Here is a 12,242-nt window from a genome sequence, read left to right as displayed (position 1 = left end):
TATAAGGCATAAGGAAGGGATCCAGTTTCAGCTTTCTACATCTGGCTAGCCAGTTTTCCCAGCACCATTTATTAAATAGGGAATCCTTTCCCCATTGCTTGTTTTTCTCAGGTTTGTCAAAGATCAGATAGTTGTAGATGTGTGGTGTTATTTCTGAAGCCTCTGTTCTGTTCCATTGGTCTATATCTCTGTTTTGGTACCAGTACCGTGCTGTTTTGGTTACTGTAGCCTTGTAGTATAGTTTGAAGTCAGGTACCATGATGACTCCAGCTTTGTTCTTTTGGCTTAGGATTGACTTGGTGATGCAGGCTCTTTTTTGGTTCCATATGAACTTTAAAGTAGTTGTTTCCAATTCTGTGAAGAAAGTCATTGGCAGCTTGATGGTGATGGCATTGAATCTATAAATTACCTTGGGCAGTATGGCCATTTTCACGATATTGATTCTTCCTACTCATGAGCATGGAATGTTCTTCCATTTGTTTGTATCGTCTTTTATTTCATTGAGCAGTGGTTTGTAGTTCTCCTTGAAGAGGTCCTTCACATCCCTTGTAAGTTGGATTCCTAGGTATTCTATTCTCTTTGAAGCAATTGTGAATGGGAGTTCACTCCTGATTTGGCTCTCTGTTTGTCTGTTATTGGTGTATAAGAATGCTTGTGATTTTTGTACATTGATTTTGTATCCTGAGACTTTGCTGAAGTAGCTTATCAGCTTGAGGAGATTTTGGGCTGAGACGATGGGGCTTTCTAGATATACAATCATGTCATCTGCAAACAGGGACAATCTGACTTCCTCTTTTCCTAATTGAATGCCCTTTATTTCCTTCTCCTGCCTGATTGCCGTGGCCAGAACTTCCAACACTATGTTGAATAGGAGTGGTGAGAGAGGGCATCCCTGTCTTGTGCCAGTTTTCAAAGGGAATGCTTCCAGTCTTTGCCCATTCAGTATGATATTGGCTGTGGGTTTGTCATAGATAGCTCTTATTATTTTCAGATACGTCCCATCAATACCTAATTTATTGAGAGTTTTTAGCATGAATGGTTGTTGAATTTTGTCAAAGACCTTTTCTGCATCTATTGAGATAATCATGTGGTTTTTGTCTTTGGTTCTGTTTATATGCTTGATTACATTTATTGATTTGTATATGTTGAACCAGCCTTGCATCCCAGAGATGAAGCCCACTTGATCATGGTGGATAAGCTTTTTGATGTGCTGCTGGATTCCGTTTGCCAATATTTTATTGAGGATTTTTGCATAAATGTTCATCAAGGATATTGGTCTAAAATTCTCTTTATTGGTTGTGTCTCTGCCAGGCTTTGGTATCAGGATGATGCTGGCCTCATAAAATGAGTTAGGGAGGATTCCCTCTTTTTCTATTGATTGGAATAGTTTCAGAAGGAATGGTACCAGTTCCTCCTTGTACCTCTGGTAGAATTCGGCTGTGAATCCATCTGGTCCTGGACTTTTTTTGGTTGGTAAGCTATTGATTATTGCCTCAATTTCAGAGCCTGTTATTGGTCTATTCAGAGATTCAAGTTCTTCCTGGTTTAGTCTTGGGAGGATGTATGTGTCGAGGAATTTATCCATTTCTTCTAGATTTTCTAGTTTATTTGCATAGAGCTGTTTATAGTAGTCTCTGATGGTAGTGTGTATTTCTGTGGGATCGGTGGTGATATCCCCTTTATCATTTTTTATTGCGTCTATTTGATTCTTCTCTCTTCTTCTTTATTAGTCTTGCTAGCGGTCTATCAATTTTGTTGATCTTTTCAGAAAACCAGCTCCTGGATTCATTAATATTTTGAAGTGATTTTTGTGTCTCTATTTCCTTCAGTTCTGCTCTGATCTTAGTTATTTCTTGCCTTCTGCTAGCTTTTGAATGTGTTTGCTCTTGCTTTTCTAGTTCTTTTAATTGTGATGTTAGGGTGTCAATTTGAGATCTTTCCTGCTTTCTCTTGTGGGCAGTTAGTGCTATAAATTTCCCTCTACACACTGCTTTGAATGTGTCCCAGAGATTCTGGTATGTTGTGTCTTTGTTCTCGTTGGTTTCAAAGAACATCTTTATTTATGACTTCATTTCGTTATTTACCCAGTAGTCATTCAGGAGCAGGTTGTTCAGTTTCCATATAGTTGAGCGGTTTTGAGTGAGTTTCTTAATCCTGCGTTCTAGTTTGATTGCACTGTGGTCTGAGAGACAGTTTGTTATAATTTCTGTTCTTTTACATTTGCTGAGGAGTGCTTTACTTCCAACTATGTGGTCAATTTTGGAATAGGTGTGATGTGGTGCTGAAAAGAATGTATATTCTGTTGATTTGGGGTGGAGAGTTCTGTAGATGTCTATTAGGTCTGCTTGGTGCACAGCTGAGTTCAAGTCCTGGATATCCTTGTTAACCTTCTGTCTCGTTGATCTGCCTAATGTTGACAGTGGGGTGTTAAAGTCTCCCATTATTATTGTGTGGGAGTCTAAGTCTCTTTGTTGGTCTCTAAGGACTTGCTTTATGAATCTGGGTGCTCCTGTATTGGGTGCATATATATTTAGGATAGTTAGCTCTTCTTGTTGAATTGATCCCTTTACCATTATGTAATGGCCTTCTTTGTCTCTTTTGATCTTTGTTGGTTTAAAGTCTGTCTTATCAGAGACTAGGATTGCAACCCCTGCTTTTTTTTACTTTCCATTTGCTTGGTAGATCTTCCTCCATCCCTTTATTTTGCGCCTATGTGGGTCTTTGCATTTGAGATGGGTGTCCTTAATACAGCACACTGATGGGTCTTGACTCTTTATCCAATTTGCCAATCTGTGTCTTTTAATTTGGGCATTTATCCCATTTACATTTAAGGTTAATATTGTTATGTGTGAATTTGATCCCGTCATTATGATGTTAGCTGGTTATTTTGCCCATTAATTGATGCAGTTTCTTTTTAGCCTTGATGGTCTTTACAATTTGGCATGTTTTTGCAGTGGCTGGTACTGGTTGTTTCTTTTCATGCTTATTGCTTCCTTCAGGAGCTCTTGTAAGGCTGGCGTGGTAGTGATAAAATCTCTCAGCATTTGCTTGTCTGTAAAGGATTTTATTTCTCCTTCACTTATGAAGCTTAGTTTGGCTGGATATGAAATTCTGGATTGAAAATTCTTTTCCTTAAGAATGTTGAATATTGGCCCCCACTCTCTTTTGGCTTGTAAGGTTTCTGCAGAGAGATCTGCTGTTATTCTGATGGGCTTCCCTTTGTGGGTAACCCGACCTTTCTCTCTGGCTGCCCTTAACATTTTTTCCTTCATTCCAACCTTGGTGAATCTGACCATTATGTATCTTGGGGTTCTTCTTCTCGAGGAGTATCTTTGTGGTGCTCTCCGTATTTCCTGAATTTGAATGTTGGCCTGTCTTTCTATGTTGGGGAAGTTCTCCTGAATAATATCCTGAAGAGTGTTTTCCAACTTGGTTCCATTCTCCCCATCACTTTCAGGTACACCAATCAAATGTAGATTTTGTCTTTTCACATAGTCCCATATTTCCTGGAGGCTTTGTTTATTTCTTTTTACTCTTTTTTCTCTAACCTTGTCTTCTCACTTTATTTCATTAATTTGATCTTCAATCACTGATATCCTTTCTTCCAATTGATCGAATTGGTTATTGAAGCTTGTGCATGTGTCACGAATTTCTCGTGCCATGGTTTTCAGCTCCATTAGATCATTTAAGGTCTTCTCTACACTGTTTATTCTAGTTAGCCATTCATCTAACCTTTTTTCAGTTTCTTAGCTTCTTTGCGACGTGTTTGAACATGCTCCTTTAATTCGGAGAAGTTTGTTATTACCAACCTTCTGAAGCCTACTTCTGTCAACTCGTCAAAGTCATTCTCCGTCCAGCTTTGTTCTGTTGCTGGCAAGGAGCTGCAATCCTTTGGAGGAGAAGAGGAGCTCTGGTTTTTAGAATTTCCAGCTTTTCTGCTCTGGTTTCTCCCTATTTTTGTGGTTTTATCTACCTTTGGTCTTTGATGTTGGTGACCTACAGATGGGGTTTTGGTGTGGATGTCCCTTTTGTTGACGTTGATGCTATTCCTTTCTGTTTGTTAGTTTTCTTTCTAACAGTCAGGTCCCTCAGCTGCAGGTCTGTTGGAGTTTGCTGGAGTTCCACTCCAGATCCTGTTTGCCTGGGTAGCACCAGTGGAGGCTGCAGAACAGTAAATATTTCAGAACAGCTAATATTGCTGCCTGATCCTTCCTCTGGAACCTTTGTCCCAGAGGGGCACCTGCCTATATGAGGTGTCTGTAGTCCCCTACTGGGAGATGTCTCCCAGTTAGGCTACACGGGGGTCAGGGACCCTCTTGAGGAGGCAGTCTGTCTATTCTCAGAGCTCAAACACCATATTGGGAGAACCACTGCTCTCTTCAAAGCTGTCAGACAGGGAGGTTTAAGTCTGCAGAAGTTGTCTGCTACCTTTTGTTCAGCTAAGCCCTGCCCACAGAGGTGGAGTCTAGAGGCATTAGGCCTTGCTGAGCTGTGGTGACCTCTGCCCAGTTTGAGCTTCCTGGCTGCTTTGTTTACCTACTCAAGCCTCAGCAATGGCAGATGCCCCTCCCCCAGCCAGGCTGCCATCTTGCAGTTCAATCTCAGACTGCTGCACTAGCAGTGAGCAAGGCTCCATGGGCATAGGACCTGCTGAGCTGGGCATGGGAGAGAATCTCCTTGTCTGCTGGTTGCTAAGACCTTGGGAAAAGTGCAGTATTTGGGTGGGAGTGTCCCATTTTTCCAGGTATAATCATTTTCCTTGGCTAGGAAAAGGAAATCCCCTGACCCCTTGTGGTTCCTGGGTGAGGCAATGCCCCGCCCTGCTTCAGCTCACCCTCAATGGTCTACACCCACTGTCCAACCAGTCCCAATGAGATGAACCAAGTACCTCAGTTGGAAATGTAGAAATCACCCATCTTCTGGGTCAATCACACTCAGAGCTGCAGACTGGAGTTGTTCCTATTCGGCCATCTTGGAACCTTCATCAATTGCATTTTTCCAGCCCAGAATTTCTGCTTGATTCTTCTTAATTATTTCAATCTTTTTGTTAAAGAGGATATACCTATTGTAAATATATATGCACCCAACAATGGAGCACCTAGAAATATGAAGCAAACATTATTAGAGCTACAGAGTAAGATAGACACCAATACGATAATAGCTGGAGGCTTCAACACTCTACCCTCAGCATTGGACAGATCTGCCAGACAGAAAATCAACAAAGAAACACTGGACTTAATCTACTCTATAGACCAAATGGTTCTAGTAGATATTTACAGAACACTTTATCCAATAGCTACAGAATACACATTTTTCTCCTCAGCTCATGGATCATTCTCAAGAATAGAATATATGTTAGGGCACAAAACAACTCCTGATACATTCAAAAAATTCAGAAAATAAAATAACATTCAGCATCTTTTCTGACCACAGTGTAATACAACTAGAAATCAATATAGACATTTTGAAAACTATACAAACATTTAGAAATTAAACAATATGCTCCTGAATGACCAATGAAGAAATTAAGAAGAAAGTTGAAAAATTTTGTGAAACAAATGGCAATGGAAACACTACACACAAAACCGATGGGATACAGCAAAAGCAGTGCTGAGAAGGAAATTTATACCCATAAGTACCTAAATCAAAAAAGACAAAAACTTCAAATAAGCAATCTAATGATGCATCTTAAAAAACTAGAAGAACAAGAGAAAACCAAACCCAAAATTAGCAGAAAAAAAAAATAATGAAGACTAGAGCAGAAATAAACAAAATTGAAACAAAAAAATAAAAGATCCAAAATAGAAAAAGTTTTTTTTTTAAATTCAACAAAATAGACAAACCTTTAGCCAGACTAAGAAATAAAGAAAGAAGATGCAAATAAAATCAGAGATGAAAAAGGAGACATTACATCCAATACCACAGAAATTCAAAGGATCATTAGAGGCTACTAAGAGCAACTTTATGCCAATAAATTATAAAATCTAAAAGAAATTGATACATTCCTAGACACATACAACCTACCAAGACTGAACCAGGAAAAAATTCAAAACCTGAGGTGACCAATAATAAGTAACAAGATTGAAACCATAATAAAAATTCCCCTGCAAAAAAAAAGTTCAGGACCTAATGGCTTCACTGCTGAATTCTACCAAATGTTTAAAGAAGAACTAATACCAATTCTACTCAAATTACTCTAAAAAATAGAGGAGGAAGGAAAACTTTCAAAATCATTCTATGAGGAAAGTATTACCCTGATACCAAAACTGACAAAGACACATCAAAAGCAGAAAACCGTGGGCCAATATCTGGCCAGACGTGGTGGCTCATGCCGTAATTTCAGCACTTTGGGCAGCTGAGGCAGGTAGATTACTTGAGGTTAGGAGTTTCAGAACAACATGGCTAACACAGTGAAATCCTATCTCTATTAATAATACAAAAATTAGCTGGGTGTGGTGGCAGGTGTGTGTAATCCCAGCTACTCAGGAGGCTGAGGAAGGAGAATCACTTAAACCTAGGAGGTGGGGGTTGCAGTGAGCCAAAACCACACCACTGCACTCCAGCCTGAGAAATGGAACAAGATCCTGTCTCAAAAAACAAAAAACAAAAAAACGAAAAAAAATATAGGCCAATATCTCTGCTAGTGATGCAAAAGTTCTCAACACAATACTAGCAAACAAAATACAACAACAAATTAAAAAGATAACTCATCATGATCAACGGGGTTTATCCCAGGGAAGCAAGAATGGTTCAACATATGCAAATCAATCACTGTGATACATCATGTCAACAGAATGAAGAACAAATCCATATGATCATTTCAATTGATGCTGAAAAAGCATTTGATAAAATTCAATATCCCTTCATGATAAAATCCTTCAAAAACTGTGTATAGAAGGAACATACCTCAACATAATAAAAGCTATATATTACAGACCAACAGCTAGTATCGGAATGAATCACAAAAAATTGAAAGTCTTTCCTCTAAGATCTGGAACATGACAAGGATGTCCGCTTTCACCACTGTTATTCAATGTAGTGCTGGAACTTGTAGCTAGAGTTATCAGACAAGAATAAGATATAAAGGGCATCCAAGTTGGAAAGGAAAAGTCAAAGTACCCTTGTTTGCTGATGATATAATCTTACATTTGGAAAAACCAAAAGCCTTCACAAGAAAACTATTGGAACTAATTTAAAAATTCAGTAGGGGGAGGAGCCAAGATGGGCAAATAGGAACAGCTCCGGTCTACAGCTCCCAGAGTGAGCGATGCAGAAGACGGGCGATTTGTGCATTTCCAACTGAGGTACTGGTTCATCTCACTGGGGAGTGCCAGACAGTAGGTGCAGGACAGTGGGTGCAGCACACGAAGCATGAGCAGAAGCAGGGCGAGGCATCACCTAACCGGGGAAGTGAAAGGGGTCAGGGAATTCCCTTTCCTAGTCAAAGAAAAGGGTGACAGACGGCACCTGGAAAATTGGGTCACTCCCACCCTAATACTGTGCTTTCCCAATGGGATTAAAAAATGGCACACCAGGAGATTATATCCTGCACCTGGCTCAGAGGGTCCTACACCCACGGAGTCTGGCTCATTACTAGTACAGCAGTCCCAGATCAAACTGCAAGGTGGCAGCGAGGCTGGGGGAGGGGCGTCTGCCATTGCCAAGTTAGTTGTTTGATTAGGAAAACAAAGCTGCCTGGAAGCTCGAACTGGGTGGAGCCCACCACAGCTCAAGGAGGCCTGCCTGCCTCTGTAGGCTCCACCTCTGGGGGCAGGGCACAGACAAACAAAAAGACAGCAGTAACCTCTGCAGACTTAAATGTCCCTGTCTGACAGCTTTGAAGAGAGTAGTGGTTCTCCCAGCATGCAGCTTGAGATCTGAGAACGGGCAGACTGCATCCTCAAGTGGGTCCCTGACCCCCGAGTAGCCTAACTGGGAGGCACCCCCAAGTAAGGGTGGACTGACACCTCACACGGCCAGGTACTCCTCTAAGACAGAATTTCCAGAGGAATGATCAGGCAGCAGCATTTGCGTTTCACCAATATCCACTATTCTGCAGGCACCACTGCTGATACCCAGGCAAACGGGGTCTGGAGTGGACCTCCAGAAAACTCCAACAGACCTGCAGCTGAGGGTACTCTCTGTTAGAAGGAAAACTAACAAACAGAAAGGACATCCACACCAAAAATCCATCTGTATGTCACCATCATCAAAGACCAAAGGTACATAAAACCACAAAGATGGGGAAAAAACAGAGCAGAAAAACTGGAAACTCTAAAAAGCAGAGCGCCTCTCCTCCTGCAAAGGAACGCAGCTCCTCACCAGCAATGCAACAAAGCTGGACGGAGAATGACTTTGATGAGCTGAGAGAAGAAGGCTTCAGACGATCAAACTACTCCGAGCTACAGGAGGAAATTCGAACCAATGGCAATGAAGTTAAAAGTTTTGAAAAACAATTAGACAAATGGATAACTAGAATAACCAATGCAGAGAAGTCCTTAAAGGTCCTGATGGAGCTGAAAATCAAAGCACGAGAGCTACGTGATGAATGCAGAAGCCTCAGGAGCTGATGTGATCAACTGGAAGAAAGGGTATCAGTGATGGAAGGTGAAATGAATGAAATGAAGTAAGAAGAGAAGTTTAGAGAAAAAAGAATAAAAAGAAATGAACAAAGCCTCCAAGAAATATGGGACTATGTGAAAAGACCAAATCTACATCTGATTGGTGTACCTGAAAGTGACGGGGAGAATGGAACCAAGTTGGAAAACACTCTGCAGGATATTCTCCAGGAGAACTTCCCCAACCTAGCAAGGCAGGCCAATATTCAAATTCAGGAAATACAGAGAACGCCACAAAGATAATCCTCAAGAAGAACAACTCCAAGACACATAATTGTCAGATTCACCAAAGTTGAAATTAAGGAAAAAATGTTAAGGGCAGCCAGAGAGAAAGGTCGGGTTACCCACAAAGGGAAGCCCATCAGACTAACAGCGGATCTCTCGGCAGAAACTCTATAAGCCAAAAGAGCGTGGGGACCAATATTCAACATTCTTAAAGAAAAGAATTTTCAACCCAGAATATCATATCCAGCCAAACTAAGCTTCACAAGTGAAGGAGAAATAAAATCCTTTACAGACAAGCAAATGCTGAGAGATTTTGTCACCACCAGGCCTGCCCTAAAAGAGCTCCTGAAGGAAGCACTCAACATGGAAAGGAACAACTGGTACCAGCCACTGCAAAAACATGCCAAATTGTAAAGACTATCAAGGCTAAAAAGAAACTGCATCAACTAATGAAAAAAAAAAACCAGCTAACATCATAAAGACAGGATCAAATTCACACATAACAATATTAACTTTAAATGTAAGTGGACTAAATGCTCCAATTAAAAGACACAGACTGGCAAATTGGATAAAGAGTCAAGACCCATCAGTGTGCTGTATTCAGGAAACCCATCTCATGTGCAGAGACACAAATAGGCTCAAAATAAAGGGATGGAGGAAGATCTACCAAGCAAATGGAGAACAAAAAAAAGCAGGGGTTGCAATCCTAGTCTCTGATAAGACAGACTTTAAACCAACAAAGATCAAAAGAGACAAAGAAGGCCATTACATAATGGTAAAGGGATCAATTCAACAAGAAGAGCTAACTATCCTAAATATATATGCACCCAATACAGGAGCACCCAGATTCATAAAGCAAGTCCTGAGGGACCTACAAAGAGACCTAGACTCCCACACAATAATAATGGGGGATATTAACACCCCACTGTCAACATTAGACAGGTCAACAAGACAGAAAGTCAACAAGGATACCCAGGAATTGAACTCAGCTCTGCACCAAGCGAACCTAATAGACATCTACAGAACTCTCCACCCCAAATCAACAGAATATACATTCTTTTCAGCACCACATCACACCTATTCCAAAATTGACCACATAGTTGGAAGTAAAGCACTCCTCAGCAAATGTAAAAGAACAGAAATTATAACAAACTGTCTCTCAGACCACAGTGCAATCAAACTAGAACGCAGGATTAAGAAACTCACTCAAAACCGCTCAACTATATGGAAACTGAACAACCTGCTCCTGAATGACTACTGGGTAAATAACGAAATGAAGTCATAAATAAAGATGTTCTTTGAAACCAACGAGAACAAAGATACAACATACCAGAATCTCTGGGACACATTCAAAGCAGTTTGTAGAGGGAAATTTATAGCACCAACTGCCCACAAGAGAAAGCAGGAAAGATCTCAAATTGACACCCTAACATCACAATTAAAAGAACTAGAAAAGCAAGAGCAAACACATTCAAAAGCTAGCAGAAGGCAAGAAATAACTAAGATCAGAGCAGAACTGAAGGAAATAGAGACACAAAAATCACTTCAAAATATTAATGAATCCAGGAGCTGGTTTTCTGAAAAGATCAACAAAATTGATAGACCGCTAGCAAGACTAATAAAGAAGAAAAGAGAGAAGAATCAAATAGACGCAGTAAAAAGTGATAAAGGGGATATCACCACTGATCCCACAGAAATACACACTACCATCAGAGAATACTCTAAACACCTCTATGCAAATAAACTAGAAAATCTAGAAGAAATGGATAAATTACTTGACACATATATCCTTCCAAGACTAAACTAGGAAGAACTTGAATCTCTGAATAGACCAATAACAGGCTCTGAAATTGAGGCAATAATCAATAGCTTACCAACCAAAAAAAGTCCAGGACCAGATGGATTCACAGCCGAATTCTACCAGAGGTACAAGGAGGAACTGGTACCATTCCTTCTGAAACTATTCCAATCAATAGAAAAAGAGGGAATCCTCCCTAACTCATTTTATGAGGCCAGCATCGTCTTGATACCAAAGCCTGGCAGAGACACAACAAAAAAAGAGAATTTTAGACCAATATTCTTGATGAACATCAATGCAAAAATCCTCAATAAAATACTGGCAAACGGAATCCAGCAGCACATCAAAAAGCTTATCCACCATGATCAAGTGGGCTTCATCCCTGGGATGCAAGGCTGGTTCAACATATGAAAATCAATAAATAAAATCCAGCATATAAACAGAACCAAAGACAAAAACCACATGATTATCTCAATAGATCCAGAAAAGGTCTTTGACAAAATTCAACAGCCCTTCATGCTAAAAACTCTCAATAAATTAGGTATTGATGTGACGTATCTGAAAATAATAAGAGCTATCTATGACAAACCCACAGCCAATATCATACAGAATAGGCAAAGACTGGAAGCATTCCCTTTGAAAACTGGCACAAGACAGGGATGCCCTCTCTCACCACTCCTATTCAACATAGTGTTGGAAGTTCTGGCCACGGCAATCAGGCAGGAGAAGGAAATAAAGGGCATTCAATTAGGAAAAGAGGAAGTCAGATTGTCCCTGTTTGCAGATGACATGATTGTATATCTAGAAAACCCCATCGTCTCAGCCCAAAAATCTCCTCAAGCTGATAAGCTACTTCAGCAAAGTCTCAGGATACAAAATCAATGTACAAAAATCACAAGCATTCTTATACACCAATAACAGACAAACAGAGAGCCAAATCAGGAGTGAACTCCCATTCACAATTGCTTCAAAGAGAATAGAATACCTAGGAATCCAACTTACAAGGGATGTGAAGGACCTCTTCAAGGAGAACTACAAACCACTGCTCAATGAAATAAAAGACGATACAAACAAATGGAAGAACATTCCATGCTCATGAGTAGGAAGAATCAATATCGTGAAAATGGCCATACTGCCCAAGGTAATTTATAGATTCAATGACATACCCATCAAGCTACCAATGACTTTCTTCACAGAATTGGAAACAACTACTTTAAAGTTCATATGGAACCAAAAAAGAGCCCGCATCACCAAGTCAATCCTAAGCCAAAAGAACAAAGCTGGAGTCATCATGGTACCTGACCTCAAACTATACTACAAGGCTACAGTAACCAAAACAGCACGGTACTGGTACCAAAACAGAGATATAGACCAATGGAACAGAACAGAGCCCTCAGAAATAACGCCGCATATCTACAACTATCTGATCTTTGACAAACCTGACAAAAACAAGCAATGGGGAAAGGATTCCCTATTTAATAAATGGTGCTGGGAAAACTGGCTAGCCATATGTAGAAAGCTGAAACTGGATCCCTTCCTTACAACTTATACAAAAATTAATTCAAGATGGATTAAAGACTTAAATGTCAGACCTAAAACCA

At 40.2% G+C, this 12,242-nt stretch overlaps 1 annotated feature.

Moving 5' to 3' along the window:
- Window positions 4,017-5,216: an enhancer, noted in NCBI's record as "BRD4-independent group 4 enhancer chrX:73915317-73916516 (GRCh37/hg19 assembly coordinates)". NCBI's record gives its function as "activates an origin of replication core promoter dependent on BRD2, P300/CBP, MED14 and CDK7 cofactors, and independent of BRD4, by STARR-seq in HCT116 cells {active_cell/tissue: HCT116}" and the evidence as "EXISTENCE:reporter gene assay evidence [ECO:0000049][PMID:35650434]".

The sequence above is a fragment of the Homo sapiens genome, chromosome X (assembly GCF_000001405.40).
Source record: "Homo sapiens chromosome X, GRCh38.p14 Primary Assembly".
In the NCBI taxonomy this organism is placed as follows: domain Eukaryota; kingdom Metazoa; phylum Chordata; class Mammalia; order Primates; family Hominidae; genus Homo; species Homo sapiens.
Note: the sequence above shows the minus strand (reverse complement) of the source record. Positions and strands in the feature narration are given on the sequence as shown.